At 38.7% G+C, this 23,822-nt stretch overlaps 1 protein-coding gene across 9 annotated transcripts in view, besides 1 other annotated feature; it reads left to right on the top strand.

Annotated features, from left to right (window-relative positions):
• HELZ (helicase with zinc finger) overlaps positions 1–23,822 on the top strand; it is a 175,546-nt gene that overhangs the window by 32,117 nt on the left and 119,607 nt on the right. For 8 of the 9 annotated variants that reach the window (XR_001752712.3, XM_047437225.1, XM_047437224.1 and 5 more), the window contains exons 6-10: positions 10,430–10,554; positions 12,688–12,744; positions 18,403–18,454; positions 19,831–19,906; positions 23,518–23,716. Coding sequence is in view for 8 of the 9 variants with exons in the window: in XM_047437225.1 (XP_047293181.1) it covers positions 10,430–10,554; positions 12,688–12,744; positions 18,403–18,454; positions 19,831–19,906; positions 23,518–23,716 (509 nt within the window). In the remaining variant the exon portion in view is untranslated. Of the gene's footprint in view, positions 1–10,429; positions 10,555–12,687; positions 12,745–18,402; positions 18,455–19,830; positions 19,907–23,517; positions 23,717–23,822 lie in introns of those variants that run through there. The other variant, XM_047437226.1, reaches the window with a different exon arrangement.
• Positions 19,406–19,700: a silencer, noted in NCBI's record as "tiled region #3705; HepG2 Repressive DNase matched - State 14:Gen5'". NCBI's record gives its function as "represses a minimal TATA promoter and a strong SV40 promoter by Sharpr-MPRA in HepG2 cells {active_cell/tissue: HepG2}" and the evidence as "EXISTENCE:reporter gene assay evidence [ECO:0000049][PMID:27701403]".

The raw sequence follows: 23,822 nt of genomic DNA, 5'->3' as shown, positions 1-23,822 counted from the left end.
TCTAAATTAATACACTGGCTCCAATTCCTGCTTAATTTTCCATGGCGTGGATGTGCTGCTATTTATTCAACCATTCCCGTATTGATGGGCATTTAGGTGGTTCTAGTTTTCTGGTTTGTCATTATAAACCATCCTGTAATAAACATATGTTCTTTCTTATTGTTGCCCTTTTTTTTATAGGATAGTCTTAAAAGTTGGATTTCTGGGTTAAGGAGTATGTACACTTACAATTTTATTTTATTTATTTTTTTTGAGATGGAGTCTCGCTCTGTCATCAGGCTGGAGTGCAGTGGCGTGATCTCGGGTCACTGTGACCTCCGTCTCCCAGGTTCAAGTGATTCTCCTGCCTCAGCCTCCTGAGTAGCTGGGACTGCAGGCATGCGCCAACATGCCCGGCTAATTTTTGTATTTTTAGTAGAGACAGGGTTTCACCATGTTGGCCAGGATGGTCTGGATCTCTTGACCTCGTGACCTGCCTGCCTCGGCGTCCCAAAGTGCCGGGATTACAGACGTGAGCCACTGCGCCCGGCCTATAATTTTAATAGACACTGTCAGATTAGTTTCAGATGCACACACCCACAGCAATATACGAGACTGCCCAGTCTCTGTAATCTGTCACTGAAACCTGTCAGTGTTGAAATTTTGCCAATCTCATGTGTGAGAAATAGTTCCTTTTTCTTCAGTTTTCATTGCCCTGAGTGCTAGTGAAATTGATGCAGTCTTGTTTTTTTGGAGATGTACAAACAAAAGTCTTAGAAAGTTCAGTGACTTAGGAAAAGTCATACAAAAGTAAATGCTGAAGGAGCATATGGACAAATGTTGCATTATTCTGTTAATTGTTTTACTTAGCATTTTAAAATTAGGTGCTATTTCACAACTTTTGAATCACTAAAATATAAGTTTAACCGATGCCTAAGATAAAGTTGTCATGAAATGAGTATACTTTTGTGGTATTGGTGGAGTATGGAATGGAATGCAGCTTGGTAATATATTCATACCCTTTGACCCACTAATCTCATTTCTGGGATACTATCCTAAGTCAGTAATCCAAAAGAGAGAAAAAATTGTATGCAGAGTGGTGTTCATTGCAGTGCTGTGTGTAAAAGAGAAAAATAGGTTACCTTCCAATAAGGAAGGAGTTCATTAATTACATTCTACACATTCCTTGTTCCCCTTTATGTGATAAGTAAGAGCTTGAAAAATGGTCATTTTTTAAATAAATCCAAAAGCAGTATATCCAGAGTTGTTTATTTGAAATAGACATTTGGAAATATTGGCCAAGATTATACATGTATATTAGTAGTTGTAGAGTTCTGCTGTTACATGTAATTTTTTTCTTTTCAACTTTTAGTAACATTATTTTTGTATAAGATGAAGTACTATGGTTAGACAGTAATAAAAAACATGTGAACCTCAGTCTCTGTTAATTATAGTTTCGTAATGCTAAGATGCTTCCAGGGATAGCCATGGATAGCTCATAGTTTAAGCACTCCAGACCGTGGACTTCTTATGTTTGCATTTTATATACAGTGTAGCCTTTTTTTTTTTTTTTTTTTTTGAGATGGTGTCTCTCCCTGTCGCCCAGGTTGGAGTGCAGTGGTGCGATCTCGGCTCACTGCAACCTGTGCCTCCTGGGTTCAAGCAATTCTCCTGCCTCCCCAGTAGCTGGGATTGCAGGCACCTGCCATCATGCCCAGCTAATTTTTATATTTTTGTAGAGATGAGGTTTCACCATGTTGGCCAGGCTGGTCTTGAACTCCTGATCTCAGGTGATCTGCCCGCCTTGGCCTTACAGCATAGTCTTGATGTCTGTTCTCTTACTGTCAGGCTATTAATTTGCATTCCTTGCAACTCTCAACATGCCTCATTGCAGCTCCTCTCCTCTCCACTTGCAGCTTCTGACCTACTGTGGGTTACGAAATCAGACCAGCAGTCTTCATCATGGAATTAAAAAACAGTCTTTTCTTTCCCTTCCCTTACCTTCCCCCTTCCCTTCCCCTTTTCTTCTTTTTTTGAGACAGTTTTGTTCTGTCGCTCAGGCTGGAGTGCAGTGGCGTAATCTTGGCTCACTGCAACCTCTGCCTTACGGGCTCAAGCAATTCTCCTGTCTCAGCCCCCTGAGTAACTGGGATTACAGGCGCCTGCTACCACGCCCAGCTAATTTTTGTATTTTTAGTAGAGAAGGGGTTTCACCATGTTGGCCAGGCTGGTCTCAAACTCCTGACCTCAAGTGGTCCACCTGCCTTGGCCTCCCAAAGTGCTGGGATTATAGGCGTGAACCACCGTGCCCAGCCCATTATTTCTTTTTTAATATGAAAAATGTAAGACACACAGGAAAGTAGAGTAAATGATATAATAAACATTCATATTCTCAAAACTTTGGTTGAACAACTAATGTTTTGCCATATTTACTTCATTTTTTCTGAAATATTTAAGAATAATTAAAGACATCATGACATTTATCCCTAAATACTTCAGTATGCCTCTCTAAAAAATAAGATCAAGACTGCATAACCACAATATTATTATTAGCATAATAGAATTGATATAATTCTCTAATAATTCCCTAACCTATCTAAAGTCCAGTCCATAATCAAATTTACCTGTTTTTCTGTCCCCAAAGTTTTTTTTTTAAATAGCTGATTTGTTTAAACCAGGAACTGATTAAAGGTTATAAAATTTTAAAGTTGGAATTCTGCTTCAATAAGAGTAAACATACTCTGAGTGAGGACTCAAGGGCACCTTTGTAAGTTCCTGGGTTTCAGTTCCAAGTTCATTGTTGTATTCTGGATAGTGAAGATTGCCAAGCCAGCGACCAATGGATAAGTGAGGTAGTTAAGTCACTTTTCATTGTCTGAACATCAGTTGTATTTGGCATAACACAAAAACTTTGATGAAATAATGGTTCTATTTTTGCCTTTCGAATAGTCATTATATAGGAAACTTACTTTTTTTTTTGAGTCTTGTTCTGTTGCTGGGCTAGAATGCAGTGGCGTGATCACAGCTCACTGCAACCTCTGCCTCCTGGGTTCAAGCGATTCTCCTGCCTCAGCCTCCCAAGTAGCTGGGACTACAGGCATGCGCCACCACGCCCAGCTAATTTTTGTATTTTTAGTAGAGACAGGGTTTCACCATGTTGGCCAGGATGGTCTCCATCTCTTGACCTTGTGATCTGCCTGCCTTGGCCTCCCAAGGTGCTAGGATTACAGGTGTGAGTCACTGTGCCCGGCCATTTTTTTACACTAAAAAAATGAATGAGGTAAATGGAGAAAGTAAAATCAAAAGAACGTAATCTTATCAACTAAGAGTATTGTACCACTTGTAATATGTAGGTTAAACTTAACCATCATAAACATCAATGAAAATTTTTTATGAGGCTGTAAGATTTGTAAAGCCTAGCTAAGAGTTTTGTTAATGTAAGAAGTCATCATTGCAAACAAAGGGGCTTGGGTCATCTACTGATGTTTGTTGTTGTGAGACTTGGCCTGTGAAGTAAATGATTCAGTAATCAGCAACCCCTGTTAAAGAGGCTGACTTTTAGAAAAGGCAAATTGATAGGCGATTGGTTGAAACTTCTGTACTCTCTCTGGGGGAGGAAGTGATATCTGTAACTACCTTTCTTCTGAGAAGAATTTGTTTGTTAATTTGGAGATGGCATGTCATGGTGTCACCCAGACTGGAAGTAGAGTGGCGTGATTATAGCTCACTACAGCCTTGAAATCCTGAGCTCAAGTGATCCTCCTGCTTCAGCCTCCCCAGTAGCTGGGACAACAAAGTGTGCGCCAGCATAGTTGATTAATTTTTGTTTTGTATTTTTTGTAGAGATGGGGTTTTGCTTTGTTGCCCAGGCTGGTCTTGAGTGATCCTGGCTTCAGGTGATCCTCTTGCCTCATCCTCCCAAAGTGTTGAGATTACAGGTGTGAGCTACTGCACCTGGCCCTCAGAAGAGTTTTGATTAAATAGTTTCTATGGTAGTTAAAAATTTTTTTGGAAAAAATATTTAGTGAATGAGTTAACAGTATTTATTTAAAATTGTCACAGGGTTGGGCCCTCTGAAATATGTTATTTAGTCAAATTGTATTATCATTGCAGTTTTACAGATGAGCAAACAGACTTTGTGAGATTAAGTTACTTGCTTAAGAGCACAGAGCCAGTCCAGAGTGGAAGTGTGGTTTTGAACTGAAGTCTTTCTGATCTGAAAGGGCATGTTGCTTTGCTTTATCCTCAACTACTACTTGTGTATACTTCAGCTTTGTTTTGTTTTGTTTTGTTTTTGAGACAGAGTCTCGCTCTGTTGCCTAGGCTGGAATACAATGGTGTGATCTTAGCTCACTGCAACCTCTGCCTTCTGGGTTCAAGCGATTCTCCTGCCTCAGCTTCCCAAGTAGTTGGGATTACAGGCGCCCACCACCATTCCCGGCTAATTTTTGTATTTTTAGTAGTGACGGGGTTTCACCATGCTGGTCAGGCTGGTCTTGAACTCCTGACCTCAGGTGATCCACCCACCTCGGCCTCCCAAAGTGTTGGGATTACAGGCGTGAGCCACCGCGTCCGGCCTACTTCAGCATTTTGCAGATGTTTTTATCTCCTTTAGCCTAACAAACTTGGAAAACAGGCACAAAAAGAACTGTATTATTCTAGAAATGAAAAAGATTGTGCCTCAGGATCACTAAAATAATTATAATATTAGTGTGGTGGAGACAAGAATTTCAGTATTTAAGCTCCTTGCCAGTGTTGTTTTTTTTTTTTTTTAATTCCCCAGGCTTTTAAAATAGAGACGCAGTTCAACAACCAACCTACCTTCTTTCCTTCCTTCCCTCCCTCCCTCCCTCCCTCCCTTCCTCCCTTCCTTCCTTCCTTCCTTCCTTTTTGCCTTCCTGCCTCTCTTCTTTTCTCTTCTCTTCTCTTTTCTTTTTTCTTTTCTTTTTTTTTGAGACAGAGTTTCACTCTGTCATCCAGGCTGGAGTGCCATGGTGTGATCACAGCTCACCTCAGCTTTGATGACCTTCTGGGGCTCAGGTGATCCTCCCACCCCAGCCTCCCAAGTAGCTGGGACTATAGGCACATGCCACCACAACCGGCTAATTTTTTTCTGTTTTTTTGTTTTGTTTTCTGTTTTGTAGAAATGGTGTCTTGCCATGTTGCCCAGGCTGGTCTTGAACTACTGGGTTCAAGCAATCCTCCTACCTTGGCCTCCCAAAGTGTTGGGATTACATATGTGAACCGCTGCACCCAGCCTTAACAACATTTCTTAATTCATTGTTAGATCCAGTTACAAACTATTTTTTAAAAAATTTATATATATATAAGCTTTATGTATTTATTTTAAACTCTTTATTCTGAAATAATTATAGGTTAACAGGAAGTGGCAAAGATAATACAGAGAGGTCCCACGTACCCTTCACCTACTTTCCCCCAGTTATTACGTCTTACATAACTCTGGCACCATATCAAAACAAGGAAATTAACATTAGTACAAGGAATGTGTGTATTCTGTGTCATTTTGATCATGTGTAGACTGATTTAACCACGAATACAATTAAGATACAGAACTGCTCCATCATCGTGAAGATCTCCCTTGTGCTGCCTCCTACCTTTTACAATTTTTTTTTACAATTTTTTTTGAAAAACTTCTTTTTTTGTTGTTTCTTTCTCAGGAAATGTACTATTCCTTTAGAGTCACACTCAACCACCCTTCCTTACTACCTTTTCTAACCCTTGGCAACCACTAATCTGTTCTTCATCTCCCTAATTTTGCCACTTTGAGAGTGTTATAGAAATGGAATCATATAGCATATGACCTTTTCAGATGGCTTTTTTCCACTCACCATGGTCCTCTTGAGATCCATCCATGCTGTTTTTTGTTTTTGTTTTGAGACAGGGTCTTGCTCTGTCGCCCAGACTGGAGTGCAGTGGAGTGATCTCAGCTCACTGCAACTTCAGCCTCCTGGGTACAAGCAGTCAGCCTCCCAAGAAGCTAGTATTATGGGTATGCGCCGCCATGCCTGGCTAATTTTTGTATTTTTAGTAGAGATGGGGTTTTGCCATGTTGGCCAGGCTGGTCTCGAACTCCTGGACTCAGGTGATCCACCTGCCTCAGGCTCCCAAAGTGCTGGGATTATAGGCTCGGCCTTTATTTTCATTTTAAATTCAGTTTCTGAATTGTTAGTTCTGAGAGCATGATTATATCTAAGCAGTGAGTGATTTTATATCATTACTGACTAAAGGATTTAGTTTGTATGGTAATGAAAAAAATTTTTAGGAAAGTTTTTGGAAAAAATACCTTCATTAGGCTAAGCTCTTTAATAAAACACTTCAGAAGTAACTAAGGATTTGATAAAAGAAATAACCTAGGCTGGGTGTAGTGGCTCACACCTGTAATCCCAGCTCTTGGGGAGACTGAGGTGAGTGGATCACCTGAGGTCAGGAGTTCGAGACCAGCCTAGCCAACATGGTGAAGACCTGTCTCTACTAAAAATGCAAAAATCAGCCAGGTGTGGTAGCACGTGCATGTAATACCAGCTACTGGTGAGGCTGAGGCAGGAGAGTCGCTTGAACTGAGGAGGCGGTGGTTGCAGTGAGCCTAATCATGCCACTGCACTCCAGCCTGGGCAACAAAGCGAGACTCCATCTCAAAAAAAAAAAAAAAAAAAAAAAAAAAGGCCGGGCGTGGTGGCTCATGCCTGTAATCCCAGCACTTTGGGAGGCAGAGGCGGGCGGATCACTTGAGGTCAGGAGTTCGAGACCAACCTGACCAACATGGAGAACCGCCGTCTCTACTAAAAATACAAAATTAACCATGGGTGGTGGCGCATGCCTGTAATCCCAGCTACTTGGGAGGCTGAGGTAGGATAGTCGCTTGAACCTGGGAGGCAGAGGTTGCAGTCCGCTGATATCATACCACTGCACTCCAGCCTGGGCAACAAGAGCGAAACTCTGTCTCAAAAAAAACCCAAAAAAACAAAAAACAAAAAAACCCGGCATAGTGGCTCACGCCTGTAATCCCAGCTCTTTGGGAGGCTGAGGCGGGTGGATCACCTGAGGTCGGGAGTTCAAGACCAGCCTGACCAACATGGAGAAAGCCCGTCTCTACTAAAAATACAAAATTAGCCGAGTATGGTGGCGCATGCCTGTAATCCCAGCTACTCGGGAGGCTGGAGGCAGGAGAATTGCCTGAACCTGGGCGGCAGAGGTTGTGGTGAGCCAAGATCGCGCCATTCCACTCCAGCCTGGGCAACAAGAGTGAAACTCCGTCTTAAAAAAAAAAAAAAAAAGTCCTAATATGGTCATATTACTGAAAACAGTAGAGAATATGTACTCAACATTTACTATAAGCTTGTTTTAAGATTACTTTCCTTATATTAGGTAATTCTTTACAAGCAAAGGGAATTGCATTTTAATTGTTAATCCTTGCCTTGTGATAGCCAGAGGCTATGGAACCCCAGCAAAGATGTATTTTGCTAAAACAGTTGAATGAATATTACTCCTTTAAGTCTACTCAGTTTCTAATCCAAAACATTCTAAGTAAGACATATTTCAAGTGTTAGAAAATATCACAAAAAAGATACACAGCGAGCTGACAGAAGTCCTCCTTTGTAACTCCTAGTGAACAGAAAGGAACAATTCAGTTTGAGAACAGTTGTGTGCGCACAGTACACTCTCACACATAGTTGATGGGAAGAGAATTTATCTGCAAGGAGCTGTAACTTTTTTATAATTGTTCAAGATTGTATTATTAATGTCATGTCTTTTGGCAAGTTCAGTTTTTATAGCCGAGACAAGTTTAATAATACAGTAGGCCATACTTTTTTTCCCCCAAGCTTTTTCAAGGTAATAAGGAACTAGATTGGCAGCATTGCAATTTAATTTTGTTATACGATACAGTAGCAGGAGAGGTTTTTATCTATAGTTATTGACTATTTCTATGCCATAGTTTTTTATATGGGATCCTCCCATACATAAATTGAATTTCATTTAAGGGGAACAGGAAGAAAGTATGTCAGTACTGCTTCTTGTCTGAAAAAGAGATGGAAAAAAGGGAAACATAAATTTGACAAATATTAAGATATTCATACAGCAATGTAGTGGAAGAAACTTGCAAAATGAAATTCAGCAAATACCTCATACAAAACCAAAGATCTATGAAACCTGTTTGTAAAATGTTATGTGATTTAATACTCTTTAAGTATGACATCATCATATGAAGTTGAAATACTCTTAGACTTTTTCATTCCTGCAAACATTTTTCAGCTCTTGACAACTAGTTTCTTAATATCCCAGTTACTAAAAATGAACTAAGATATTTCCTCAGCAGTGCTCAGTACTGCTGTAAAATTTTTAGAAGGGGAAGGTAATATGTAGGGAATTCTTACTTATGCAGGAGACTGCTAGTTACTTTTCTAATTAGCATAATTAATCTTTACCACAACCTTATGAAGTAGCTACTGTCACCTCCGTTTGATAGGGGAGGAAATAGGCTTAGCGATGTAACTAATCCATACCTTAGTAGGAGTGTCATTTTTCTTCAGAGCAATTTTTTTTTTTTTTTGAGACAGTTTCGCTCTTGTCCCCCAGGCTGGAGTGCAGTGGTACGATCTTGGCTCACTGCAACCTTTGTCTCCTGGGTTCAAGCGGTTCTCCTGCCTCAGCCTCCCGAGTAGCTGGGATTACAGGTGCCTGCCACCATGCCCGCTAATTTTTGTATTTTTAGTAGAGACGGGGTTTCACCATGTTGGCCAGGCTTGTCTTGAACTCCTGACCTCAGGTGATCTGCCCGCCTCGGCCTCCCAAAATGCTGGGATTACAGGCATGAGCCACCATGCCTGGCGAGAGCATTTTACTTGTATTGTTTCATTTAATCTTTAATGGCAAATTTATACGTGTTTCTGTTTTACAGATGGCCACACTGAGGGTCAGAGAGATAAGTAACTTGCCCAAGGTCAGATTTGAAGAGTTTTAGGAATAGTAAGATCTGAGGGAGATGAATACTTACCTTGGAACTTTATAAGACACTCAAGACATTCTTAATGATACCTTATTGGAGTTTTTCACTTGATAACTCCTTATTGGAGTTTCACTAGATAACAGAATTATCTAGTGACTGTTGAATAGATGAGTGATCTGTAATATGGATGGATTGAAACAATAGATTCGTCCAAACTAAAAATAATTGAATAAAACCCTGTCAAATACAGAGAGACTGCAACTTTCAATTTAGTAAATTCAATAAAAGGTATATGTAAAGATTTTTATTATGGCATTATTTTTAATAGTTAATAATTGGAATTATTATCTTATAAGGGAAGGGTTAAATAAGTTGATGTATCTACTTGGTAGAACATTATATAGCCAATAATAAGATAAATATAAGCACTCTGATCACATGGAAAATACTGAATGTGCTGAGGGCAAAAAAGAATACAAACTGTCATGTTGGCATCAGTTACAATCATTGTAAAAATGTTGTGAACATTGATCAGAATTGGAGGAGAAAATGAGTAAGTGAAAACTTCGTTGAGTAGTGAGATTATGATGAACTCTTATGTAGAATTTTATTAGTTTTATAATGTTTGTGTAATAATAGGAGAAGATATATTCATAACAAAAATATGAACAGATCCAGTGGACTTTATATATATGGTATGTTATACTAAAAAGAAACATTTCCTTGGAAATAATTTTAAAAATAATTTCTAAAATATTTTAGCAAATTATTGCAAAGGAAGCTAAAGTATGTACAAACTAATAATAGAACCTTGGACTTAGCAATGCAGAGGATATAGATTGCTCTACTAATTGAACCATTAGCAGTTGCTGTGAGAAATCATCTCAAATGACATGGCATAAAAATGAGTATATTCTGTTTTGTTAGAAACATGATCCTCATGATTGTATTAGATTAAATCTGCAAACCCTTGCAAACAATTTGGGTAGCATTTTCTGTGGCCACTGGGCAATTGGATTCTTAGTAAATCTTGTTGGATTTGATAAAGACTAATTCTTAATTGCTTAGGAATATCTAGGTGAGATTTGTAGTTTCTGTTCTTACTCATTTTAATGGCACCCAGTCTTATGTCACTGTAAAAAACATGAGAACTTTATTCAGCTAAGTCTGCAATTTAAAAGCCCTCATTTACCCAGAATTCGTAGGTTGAACAGTATTTTTCCCTCGAGAGCTTAAGGATTGATTCTTCCTGTGATTTTGATCTCAACTGGTTGTAAGTTCGGTATGTTTATTGCCGCATGTTTTTTCTTGTTCTTATATGCCTGTTTTGGACAGAACAGAAACACCACTGCTTCCCTCTAGAGTATTTGAAGTTACTCTTTTAGCATATAAAAAGCCACGCTTGTGATAGTGTGTTAATACTATAATCAAGAAAAATGTGCATTAAATGTCATATGGTTAATGATGGCTGTTCTTTCATGGCAGTGCTGGGAGAAGGACTGGCCAAGGGAGAAGATGCCTTTCGGGCAGTGCTTTGCTGCATGCAGCTGAAAGGGAAGCTCCAACCTGTATCCACCATTCTTGCCAAGTCACTCACAGGAGAGTCCCTGGTATGTTGATAAGCTCTAATTTTGTATGCCTGAAAACAAATTTTTATTTGATTCCTTAGGTATATTGTGGGGAAAAAAAAGTGTATCTTTTTTTCTTTTAGTTCTTCCTCTATTAGAAAGCAAAATTCATGAGTATCCTGAGATATAGTACCCATTTTTCTTTTCTTTCTTTTCTTTTTTTGTTTTTTTCTTTTTTTTGAGACAAGGTGTCAGTCTGTTGTCTAGGCTGAGTAAAGTGGTGTGATCACTGCACACTGCAGCTTCAACCTCCTGGGCTCAAGCGATCCTCCTGCCTCAGCCTCCTGAGTAGCTGGGACTACAGATGCGCACTACCATCCCTGCTAATTTTTGACTTTTTGTAGAGACGAGGTCTCATTATGTTGCCCAGGCTGGTCTTGAACTCCTGGGCTCAAAAAATCCTCCCTCCTTGGCCTCCCAAAGTGCTGGGATTATAGGTGTGAGCCCCTGCTCTTTTTTCGAGACCAAAATGATATTTAATTATTAATTCTTGTAGTTTGTGATTATATATAAGAATTGTAGATACTTTAAAATAATTTAGGTTAACTAAGTGATTTTCTTTGAAGATATGATTTAACAGAGCCTGAGTTTTAAAATGCTGATGTGGACATATGATCTCATAGGGTTCTTAAATTCAACAATTTATTTCATAAAATGTTTAAATCTATCTAAACTAATAAGTGCTTCTGTTTCTGTTTGTATGTGTGTAAGTAATATCCATAACCACTCTGATGGAACTAGCTAACTCTATTCAGACTTTACAATCAATTTTGTAAATATAGCATTTGATTTTTTTAAGTTACGGAGTCTTGCTGAATTGCTGAGGCTGGAGTGCAGTGGCTATTCACAGGGGGTTATCATAGTGCGCTACAGCTTTGAACTCTTGGGCTCAAGTGATCCTGTTTCAACCTCCTCAGTAGCTAGGGCAATAGGCATGTGCCACTGTGCTCAGAAGTATATTTAATTTTTTGGCTTTTTTTGGTTGAGATAATTGAAAGGCTACTTTTTGAAACTTTGGATTTGATAATCTATAGAAAGTGGAAGAAAAGAGCTATAACCTTTTTTTTTTTAAACCAGTTCGTAACTTAAGAAATTTGTTGATAATTTTCAAGAATCATAATGAAACACAGTGAAAGCAAGAAAGTATATGTATACTTTGCTCTGCTGTGTGAATTCCCTGTATCTTTCCTATTCTTCTGAATTGATATAGATGATAAAATTATGGGGCAGATTTGTGCTTTTACTCCAAATATTAAATAATTATATTTGGTTAAAAAAAAAGAAGTTAGGGAAGTACTTGGTATATTGTTGAGTGTAATGTATTGGCCCATCTCGGGATAGTTATTTTCTAAGGAATTATTGTGCAGTGAATTGTTTAATTATGTTTAAGTTTAGCAGTGTCTTTTGATTTCACCAGATTCATAAATGAACTTAAAAGCTAAAATGTATTAGCATAGAAAAATTATATAGCTATTTAGTTCTAAGTAGATAATAAAGGAATATATCTCTTCTTTGTTATTAAGATTATCATTAAAGGGCTTTTCTGTATAAGTTAAGTATATTACAGTTTTACCTGTTGTTTTTAAATTTAAAACGAGTAAAGAGTAATTTGCTTTTAAATCTCAAATGAAATTTAGATTTCAGAAGAGTGATATTTTCCTTTTATTAAAGAGCCATTTTTAAAGTGGTGTGATCAGCTTATATGAATCTTCCTGAATCATGGCTGGGTTCACCATTTTGTACATACAAACTTATTAATCTTAGGAAAAGGGTTAAAAACAGCAATAGGTTGTTTTCCTTTTCATTTATGCTGTCTTGTTCTGTGGTGGTACCTGTTGTTAATATTTTCTTGAGTTAATTTTAATTAATGTAAGGTGAATACAGTGGTTTTACTTACCAGAAAAGGCATTCTGTATAGTTTTTCCTGTTAACCTTTTAAATTTTCCTCATAGATGTGTTGCTTTATTGTCATCGTTAATGGTAGTAGTGATGAGGGATGAGGATAACATTGTTTTTTACAAATAAACTCAGAAACAACAGAGGAATTGAGCTAAGTTGCCATAGTAAAGAATTAATATACTAATTGGTTCTTCTCTTTTTTATTCACCCTTTCAGAATGGGATGGTAACAAAGGATTTGACAAGACTAAAAACACTTCTCTCAGAAACAGAGGTAAGGCCATTTCAGTGGATCCGTTTGGAAGAGTTTGACTCAATCTGTCTAGTAAGCATTATGTATTAAAATTTGGAAAACCATTGTGGCATCAGCCAGAAGGCGAGGCTGTGAAGGTGGGGCAGTGGGACTGCCAGCCTTCCCTCGTAACCCCCATAACCCACAGTCCCATCGTGGGAATGCTGCTTCTCCACATGTCTCCTCTGTGTGCCAGGGCTTATCTTCTGTCCCTAGTGGACAGAACTGGTATCTTATTAGCTGTCTCTGGACAACAAATGGGAAGATGATTGGGAAATTTTAGTTTTTAACTACTTCTGGCTACTAGAAAATGAAATGCTATCATTAAAAATGAGATATCCTCAAGCCTTATTTATTTATTATTTGTTTATTTGAGACAGGGTCTCGCTCTGTTACCCAGGTTGGAGTGCAGTGGTGTGATCACAGCTCACTGCAACCTCGACCTCCCTTGGCTCAGGTGATCCTCCCACCTCAGCCTCCTGAGTAGCTGGAACTACAGGCACACTCCACCGTCTGGCTAATTTTTTTATTTTTAATTTTTGGTAGAGATGGAGTTTTGCCATGTTGCCCAGGCTGGTCTCCTGGGCTCAAGTGATCCGTCTGCCTCTGCCTCCCAAAGTGCTGGGATTACAGGCATGAGCTACCACACCAGGCCTTCTTTTTGTCTTTTTTAAAGCACCTGATGGAAGTCTGTGATTTAAGGACTGTCTTTAAGGAATGTGTTTAGGAGATGGAAATAATGTGTATGAGGATAAATAGTGAACAAAAAAGTACTCCAGTGAAGGACTTGGAGGACACATGGAAGGTCAGGGACAACAGTGGCATGTAAAAGGCCCTGAGGTTTGTAAGTCTCAAATTTTTCTTCTTCATATAGGCATATAAAAGTATTTTTATTTTTAGATGTCCTATTTAAAAAATAGCCATTTTGTCAGCTTTTGTCATAAAAGCCCATGTACAGTGATTAATTGGCTTATTTATTCAAAAATTGCCTATGTGCTAGGTACTATGCTTGTTGCTGGGGATACAGCACTGAACATGGTTCTTGTCCTCTTGGAGGTTAAAGTTTTAGGAAGGAGATAGACAACAAGTAAATAAATTGAACAACTGTAAGTGTAATTCACAGAGAGGTAGGTGATATGAGGGAAAAGAATGAACTCTTCTGCTGGAAAAATCACTGGATTTGGTGGCCAAGGACTGAGACAGTTAAACCAAGAGCTGAGAGTTGAGAAGGTGCTTGTCTCACGGAGAGTGAGATGGAGGGCGCTTCAGACAGACAGAGGGGATGTGCAGAGACCCTGGTGTCAACTTTGAACTCCTGTGGGTTCCTTTCCATTCCAAATGTAGTAATGTATCCCAGTTCATACCAAAAAACAGCAAAGAAGGTGGTCACCATGGATTATACAAGCTGGAAAAAATAACTGTTTTGCTACTATTAGGCTTTTTCTTCTAAATTTCATTTTCTTTGTCTTATGTTGCCTGATTGTGAATCAACCGAGAATCAGTAAGCTCTCACTAACTTCAAAGCCATGTGTATATATAGGTATTAGGTTGGTACAAAAGTAATTGGGGTTTTTGCCTTTGAAAGTAATGGCAAAACAGTCCCGGTGCGGTGCTTCACGCCTATAATCCCAGCACTTTGGGAGGCCAAGGCGGGCAGATCACCTGAGGTCGGGAGTTTGAGACCAGCCTGACCAATATGTTGAAACCCTGTGTCTACTAAAAATACAAAAATTAGTCAGGCATGGTGGCAGGAGCCTGTAATCCCAGCTACTCAGGAGGCTGAGACAGGAGAATGGCTTGAACCCAGGAGGCGGAAGTTGCAGTGAGCTGAGATTGCACCACTGTATTCCAGCCTGGGCGACAGAGTGAGACTCTGTCTCAAAAAAAAAAAAAAAAAAAAGTAATGGCAAAATCGCAATTACTTTTGCACCAACCTAATAGTGTATATGTAGCCGTTTTAATTTCTAAGAAGTAACAGAAGGCAGTTGTAGATGTTTTAGACTTTTAAAATGACAGCATAAAATGACCTTTCATTTTGTTAAGATTTTTGGCTTTGTTCTTCTTTTATTGCCTTAATTGAATTACCAACTTTACATCTGATAATCACATGCAATTTATTTTATTTTTAATGTTTATAATCCTGTTGCATGTAAGGCCACATATATCACTTGACTCTTATTTTGTGACTATACTTTTGGAAGAAGTGACTTAAGTTTTTGTAATTTTTTTCTATCTAACTAGAGTAGTAGTCTTTTTGGTTAGTGAATTGATATTATTAAAAGATAACCGTTTAGGAAAAGCTAACAAACAGTGCTACCCTTATTTATTATTGCACATGACACATTTAAAAATGGCAACAATTTGTTATTTAAAAATTGGGCTAAGCTGGTATTTAACTTGTAAATGCTAATGGATGAGAATAAAGACCTGGAACTCAAGACTGATTTATGAAAACAAAAACAAGTATTCTTTAGTAAATATTCTTTAGTAACATTTAAAATATCTGATTAATAGATTTGATTCTGAATTTATAGTTCTAGCAGTGTAATCTTTGGCCATTTTTCCTGAAGGTGTCGGTAAAGACTAATGATGATAAACTGTTGCCTTTTTGTTTTGGAGTATAAGTGCATAAAAAGAGTGTTTAAAAAACAAACACAACACTTTGGAACCTAAAAGCCAGGACTGCTAAATACTTAGCCAGGCTGAGTGCCTTACTTTACCAGTTCTCTGCTGAGCATGTGCTGCTCCCCAGATCCCCAGGAGACCTAGAGCTCAGTGTCAGCACAGGCCCGTGCGGGTCGTCACTGATTCTTACAGGTGCTGACTGCTGAAATGCACTGTGTGGTGTTCTCTCCAACATTTATAAGTGTTTTAGGCTTTATTTTATGACCAAAACATTTTAATAATGTTTATCAAACATTTTTATTCCCATTATTTTTCTTGCACATTTGATAAATTTATTTTGATAGGTTTTAAAAAGGAGATACTTTAAAATTTTCCTACTTGCAGTTAATTTTTAGCCTATCTATTTATATATGTTATGTAAATAGAATCATTTGAAGGGCTAGTTTGTGACAGTGGCACATAGACCTTGCTTGAAGAATTTAAAGAGATCTTTTAATGGCTTTTTTTTAATTTTTTTTGCAGCGTAGAATGCTAATAATATGAATAATTACTCCTGATTTGTTAATCTGTGTATTCTTATATTCAGCCCTTCGTTTTACAAAAAGAATGGCTTGCTTTTTAAAAACTCCTTAGTAAGTGCTTTACTGATAATCAGAAGGCATTTTCCTGTGGAAACAGTATTACAGAGTTTAGTTCAAGCCCAACCTAAAAAGTACAATTTAATCAACCACATATAAATTATAGTGATAGTATTGTTTCAGTTATGACCCGTTAGCATTCTGACGTTCTTTCTATGGTACAAGATATTCCAGATTTCATCTTGGGATACTGTTTACTCCTTCTGATTCAGTTTAACATTTACTGAGCACCTGTGCTGTTCAAGGCTCTGGAAAGCTGAGATGTCCATGAAAAGCAATCTGGCAGGTCAGTCAGAGATGCACACAGCTAATGTGCACACAGGGCAGCCTGCAGTCAGTAAGTGCTATCACAAAATACAGGCAGGGAAAGGGGAAAACTCTGCAGGGAAATCAGGGGGGCAGAAGTGTGAGAACTGAGTTTAAAGGATAGGGATAGCTAAGTATATTAGTCTGTTTTCACGCTGCTAATAAAGACATACTTGAGACTGGGCAATTTACAAAAGAGAGGTTTAATGGACTCACAGTTCCATGTGGCTGGGGAGGGCTCACAATCAGCAGAAGGTGAAAGGTACATCTCACATGGCGGCAGACAAGAGAAGAATGAGAGTCAAGTGAAAGGGGTTTCCCCTTATAAAACCATTAGATGTTATCAGACTTACTCACTACCACAAGAACGATATGGGGGAAATTGCCCCCATGATTCAGTTATCTCCCACTGGGTCCCTCCCACAACACAAGGGAATTATGGGAGCTACAATTCAAGATGAGATTTGGGTGGGAACACAGCCAAACCATATCACTTAGTAAAGACCCACAGGTGACTTGATATAAGGCAAGATTGGCAAGCTGTCAGTTGGTTCAGGGATAAATGAGACAAGCGGTAATGAGGGCTTTACCTAGGACAGTGGCAGTGGGAGGAGAGAATGTAAGAGAGATGAGAGACATTCTAGACCTGTTTGGACAAGATTTGGAGAATATTCAGAGCAGGATAGAAGAGGGAGGAGTTCAAGATGGCTTTGAAAATTTCAGCTTGGCTCTCTTTGGGTAAGAAGAATCCATTAACTTGTGATAAGGAGCACTGAAGAAGGATCAACTTTAGGATAAAGTTGATGAATTTTGCTTTGGGCCCATTGCATTTAAAGTGCTTAGGTGAATCATCCATTTATCCATCCACCCACCCACCCAACCACCTACCCATGTTCCCATCCACCCACCCATGTTCCCATCCACCCACCCATGCACCCATCCATCCATCCATCCATCCATCCATCCATCCAACTAACCAACCATCTATCTGTTTATCCACCCACCCACTCATCCAACATTTACTGAGCACCCATTATTATGTGCCAGATACTTTGAGAGGTGCAAGAATATAGAAAGGCAGTTACAGACTGCTGACAGCAGATGTGTATATCGCTGATAACGATCTAGCATGTAAAATACTACAGAATAGTTTAGAAAAAGTGCTATGGTTGGCGCTTTGTTGAAATTGGAAGTGTAGAGCTTAGGGTAAAGTTAGAGCCAAATGCGCTGATTGGTGGTTTATCTGAGGATGTTAGAGTGAATGGATCCCTAGCCTTGGACTCCTCTGTGGGAGAAGGGCTCATCTCAGAGTGAGTGGGGTACCTAGCAGTAAGTGCTCCCAGGCTCCAAAGTGGTAGCATGCCATTAGCTGCAAGAAAAAGGAACCTCTAGCCGGGCGTGGTGGCTCACGCCTATAATTCTAGCACTTTAGGAGGCCGAGGCGGGCGGATCACCTGAGGTCAGGAGTTGGAGACCAGCCTGGCCAACATGGTGAAACCCCATCTCTACTAAAAATATAAAAATTAGTCAGGCGTGGTGGTGGGCATCTGTAATTCCAGCTACTCAGAAGGCTGAGGCAGGAGAATCACTTGAACCCGGGGGGTGGAGGTTGCAGTGAGCTGAGTTTGCGCCACTTCACTCCAGCCTGGGCAAAAGAGCAAGACTTTGTCCCAAAAAAAAAAAAAAAAAGAAAAAAAAAAAAAGGAAAAGAAACCTCTGTAATCAGACATTTTCTAGGTGTTATGAAGAGGAGAGTAAAGTGAATAAATGGATGGAAGGTGCTAGCCTGTGAGGTTCAAGACTGGGGACTTGGACTTCTCTTCTGCTGCCAGCTAATTTCTATGTAGGAGGCCTCTATCAGCTTCCTTAATGAGAGCCTCACAAATATGTTTTCCATATTTAATTATAGTTTAACGTAGAAAAAAACAAAAATCATTGGCAACATATTAATGTTATTAAAAATTTCTGAGTATTCCAACTTCACCTTTGTTTTAATATTGAAAATGTTCAAGTTTAGTTCAGCATCAACGTTATTCTTGTTTAAAAAATTCTTTCATTTGGAAAATTGCAGACAGCAACTAGTAACGCCCTCTCTGGATATCACGTGGAAGACTTAGATGAGGGTAAGTGCCAAATGCTGTGTAACTTCTGGTAGCTGTGAATAAGGGCTTTGCTTTTATTAATTATTGGGAGAAAATTTACTGAGTTACAGTACATATAAGTGGAGATGTAGGAGAGAATATAAGATTTTAATTTTAAGAAGTAGGTGTAGTTGAAAGCAATTTTCTCCCTGGCACCTTTTCATAGAATAATGGAGTAATGGAGGTAGGAGGTAACTTCAGAGGTCATTTAGTTTATTTTCTTGCCTCCGTGTAGGACTAAATTTAAACATCATTCTTAACAATCTATAGAGGGAAGACTTTTCTTCTCTCTCTGTCCTAAGCTAGTACAGTTATTACTTTTTGGAAGTTTTGATCTGTGAGCTGAGTTGTTCCTGCCCTAATGAAACTCTGTGATCTCCTCTCCTCTCACCAGAGGAAAGGGAAAAGAAGAACATTCATTGAGTGCCTGCTGAATGCTGTGTACTATGGGCATTGGCTTTCACAAAACATGTACTGACTTAGAGTCCTTCTGCATCTTTTTGACAGGTGATGAAACTGACATTAAGGTTTATGAGTTGCCCTAAAGTCACACAGCTAGTATAGAGATGAAGCACAGCTTTAAACTCAACCTGGCTGAATATCTTTCTTTTCCTTTTCTGGGGGGCATAGTGACTTGTGAGGGAGTAGAAAATGGCTATAAGTTCCTTGAAACTTGTTGCTGCTCAACCTCTATAAAGTTCTAGCCTTTTTTTCTCATTATCCTTATTTTCCCTGGTTTATTTGGAAACTCCTATCCAAACAAATCAAAGCTCATTGTATTCACAAGTAAGTAAATACTGTGTTTTTAGCTCCTATCTCAGAATTAAACTTTTTGAACTTTATTTCAATTTTAAAAAAGGATTATATTCTACAGTGACGTGTCAGACAAATCTTAAGGAACATGGGTGATAATGTGATAACATGGAACTTCTTCTCACTGTGCAGTAGTGGAATTTGTTATGTAAGCTTTCCTTCCAGGATACAATGATTTTTTTCATCCCTGAAGGAATTCCTGATAGACAAACATCCCATGCCTAAGAAATGACAAGTATGCCAGCCACCCGCCTTGTGTTGTTAGGGAAGAGATTGCACTGGAAACCTGTCCACCAGTTGCTAGGACAGAGTCAGAGTCACCAGCTTGATTTTAACTAACTGCTGGGAAACTGCCTCTTCAGTGATTCCTATGTTTTATGTAGTTGATTGGTAGATTACTTTTTGGTAGAGGCAAGTATGTCATGTTCTTTTTTACATCATATGGGATGATGTATGTGGAGGGATTGTAGTATCTCTTACACATTAAAATATCAGAATTACTGGCTAGCCTCAAATGATAAGACTATATCCTAATTACTCCCTAGGGTCTTGTAATGGTTGGCATTTCCGCCCACCACCTAGGGGAATCACAAGCAGCGAGGAATATACTTTGTGTAAAAGGTAATGTGAATTTTTTTGTTTTTAAACAATGACATGTCTTGTTGAAAGGACAGATAATTTTCCTTATCTAATGGAGTAAAATGGTTTATTTTCAATTTGAAACAGAAGCCATAAAGGTCATTATCATTAAGTAATAAAAGTCAAAACCATATTGATGAGTTCTCTTCCTTTAATTCTAAACAGCAATGATCTAAATGCAGGTTGTTAAGACTGTTCAGTAGTCTTTTATTTTTTATCTATTTATTTTTTTTGAGATGGAGTCTCGCCCTATTGCCCAGGCTAGAATGCAGTGGCACAATCTTGGCTCACGGCAACCTCTGCCTCCCGGCTTTAAGTGATTCTCCTGCCTCAGCCTCCTGAGTATCTGGGATTACAGGCATGTGCCACCACACTGGCTAATTTTTTGTATGTTTAGTAGAGACAGGGTTTCACTATGTTGGCCAGGCTGGTCTTGAACTCCTGATCTTGTGATGTGCCCACTTTGGCCTCCCAAAGTGCTGGGATTAGAGGCGTGAGCCACTGTGCCTGGCCTCAGTAGTCTTTTATAATACCAGTTGTATTATTATGGCTGAACTTAATTTCTGTCCTTTTGTTTTTCTTTTCTTTTTTTTTTTTTTTTTTTGAGACAGAGTCTCATTCTGTTGCCCAGTTGGGAGTGCAGTGGCTTGATCACAGCTCACCGCAATCTCTGCCTCCCAGGCTCAAATGATCCTCTCACCTCAGCCTCCCAAGTAGCTGGGACTACAGGCGTGTGCCACCAAGCCTGGCTGATTTTTGTATTTTTTTTGTAGAGATGGGGTTTCACCATGTTGCTCAGGCTGGTTTTGAACTCCTGAGCTCAAGCAATCCTCCTGCCTTGGCCTCCCAAAATGCTGGGATTACAGATGTGAGCCACCACACCTGGCCATGGCCATTTGTTAATGTGAAATTTACTTAGGTTGTGGTGATTGAAGTTGACAATACTTTATGTAAAAAGTAGAGCATAAAATAGATAAAGAAATGTTAAATTGTTTTAACCTTTCTGAAAAATATTATCTTCATGTAATTCTTATGTAGAATTTATGAATAATTCATAATGAAGGGCTAACCTTTCAAAATTTAATAATTATTTATTAATGTGGAAGGAATGATTAAAGTTACAGTTAAAATGGTAAACTCTTCGGTTCTTTTTGTAAGAACTTGTAACTAGTGGGATTTTTAGATATAAATTCTCACCGCCTCTTTAGATTACTTTTGATAGCGAAGGAAATTTGCTACATGGTTTTGATTATTGAATAGTCAGGAAACTAATGTGTAAGTATTGAAAATCCTAGTGGTGTTATGTTGTAGAAGAGACAGAACACAATCCTATGAAAAGGAAATATGAGAAGATTTGAAGTACAGATAAGAATATAACACTTTCACTTTTTAGGGAAATAATTTAAAGCCAAGCAATAGAAAGACAAAGATTTGGCCCATTAAGACATATTGAAAAGAAACATAAAATGATTTTAAATGTGTCTTCAAAAGTGTAAGAGAATTTAATAAATAGTATAATTTTAAGTTCAAGTACTTTGTTGTACCATCAGGAAAAGTTTTAAATATACTCATTTTTTCAAATACGGTGAACCATTTGAAAATTCATATTGTGCTGTGGTTCATTTCTTATTTCTTACTATCCATATTTTTTCCAATTGAAAAATGGTCTGTAATATAACATCTCTCTTTTGCTATTTATAGTTTTATATTATATTTACATTTAATTATGTATTTTTTTTTATTTTTGAGACAGAGTTTTGCTCTTGTTGCCCAGGCTGGAGTGCAATGGCATGATCTCGGCTTACTGCAACCTCCGCCTCCCGGGTTCAAGCGATTCTCCTGCCTCAGCCTCCCAAGTAGCTGGGATTATAGGCATGTGCCACCACCCCGGCTAATTTTCTATTTTTAGTAGAGACAGGGTTTCTGCATGTTGGTCAGGCTGGTCTTGAACTCCCGACCTCAGGTGATGCGCCTGCCTTGGCCTCCCAAAGTGCTGGGATTACAGGCGTGAGCCACTGTGCCCGGCCATTTAATTATATTTCTAGTTTAATTTTCATTTTTTCTCAGAAGATCTTTTATCAATGTTTTTATTATTTTTATTTAAAAACTGGCTTTGCCTATAATTTTGCAGGGTATTTAAAACTTTTTTAAAAAGTTAATGCCATCTCAAAAAAAAAAAAAAAAAGTTAATGATCAGGGCCGGGCATGGTGACTCATGCCTGTAATCCCAGCTCTTTGGGAGGCCAAGGCAGGTGGATCACTTGAGGTCAGGAGTTCGAGACCAGCCTGGCCAACATGCAACCCCATCTCTACTAAAAATACAAAAACTAGCCGGGCATTGTGGTGGCAGGCACCTGTAATCCCAGCTACTCTGAAGGCTGAGGCAGGAGCATCCCTTGAACCCGGGAGGCAGAGGCTGCAGTGAGCCGAGATCGTGCCACTGCGCTCTAGCCTGGGCAACAGAGCGAGACTATCTCCAAAAAAAAAAATTATCAAAGTATTTTATTTTTATCTGTTTTTGGTCACTGAATTGTCAGTTGAATTTTCCGAGTTGTAAACGTCGAGAAATCATTGACTCTCTGTCCTTTAAAATGAACATTTATAATTTATTCCCTTGAATTTAACATGACTGTTGAATAAATTTGTGACTCTGTAATATAAAACTTTGATTCTAAATTTATTTAAAGCTTCAAGCAAGTTAATATATTTTCACTGAAATATAGGTAATAGTAATGTAGAAAAGAGTAAAATCACTATGTTTAAAGGTGAAAAGTAAAAGCCTTAAAATGGTAATTAGTCATATGTTAACTGTTTTTTCAGAATGAAATTCCCATATATAGAAAATTTTTTTAAGGTCCTTATCATTTTGGGAAGTAGGGTATACCTGTGTGTGAGCAGCAAATCCACTTGATGTCAGTATTGCTTAAAAAAATCCTACTCTGGCTGGGCGTGGTGGCTCACGCCTATAATCCCAGCACTTTGGGAGGCCGAGGCGGGTGGATCACCAAGTCAGGAGTTCAAGACCAGCCTGGCCAAGATGATGAAACCCCGTCTCTACTAAAAATACAAAAACTAGCCAGGCGTGGTGGCGGGCGCCTGTAATCCCAGCTACCCGGGAGGCTGAGGCAGAGAATTGCTTGAAACCAGGAGGCAGAGGTTGCAGTGAGTCGAGATTACGCCACTGCACTCCAGCCTGGGCAACGGAGTGAGACTCCGTCTCAAAAACAAAAAACAAAAAATCAAAAACAAAACCCAGTTACACTAAGAGGAATTGTCTAGTAAGAGTCCTTATATGACCAAGGAAGCTACTTTTCAGTGCCTCTTTTGGAGGGCCGACGTGAATACCTATGCCTTAGGATCCCCTAATTCCAGAGAAAGTCAGTGAATAATATGGGGAGCTGATGTTTTGGTTAACTGTTGTAAATGTTCTCTAAACCTCTTCTCCCTCCTTTGTACAAGACAGTACGATAAATATGGCCTTTCAGCACATGAAGTTTTGTTTTTATTGAAGAATCAGAGGGCAAATGCTGGGAGTTTATTTTTAAATGGTTCAACAAAGTATATGATAAAACAGTCTTTCCTATTCTACTTAGATTTTTAGAACAAGGAATCTGTAGGTATGGTGCCCAGTGTACTTCAGCACATTCCCAGGAAGAACTAGCAGAATGGCAGAAAAGATATGCTTCACGGCTGATAAAATTGAAACAGCAAAATGAGAATAAACAGCTCTCAGGCAGTTACATGGAAACCTTGATAGAAAAGTGGATGAATTCATTGTCTCCTGAGAAAGTGGTGAGGAAAATAAGCTACATTATTTTTTGTTTGTCTTAAACAATGAACTTGAGTCTTGACTTTATTGTGTGCTCTATTTTGGTTTATTTCCTTATCTTCTTTGCAA

Source organism: Homo sapiens, chromosome 17 (assembly GCF_000001405.40).
Source record: "Homo sapiens chromosome 17, GRCh38.p14 Primary Assembly".
In the NCBI taxonomy this organism is placed as follows: domain Eukaryota; kingdom Metazoa; phylum Chordata; class Mammalia; order Primates; family Hominidae; genus Homo; species Homo sapiens.
This window is presented reverse-complemented; position numbering and strand designations above follow the sequence as displayed.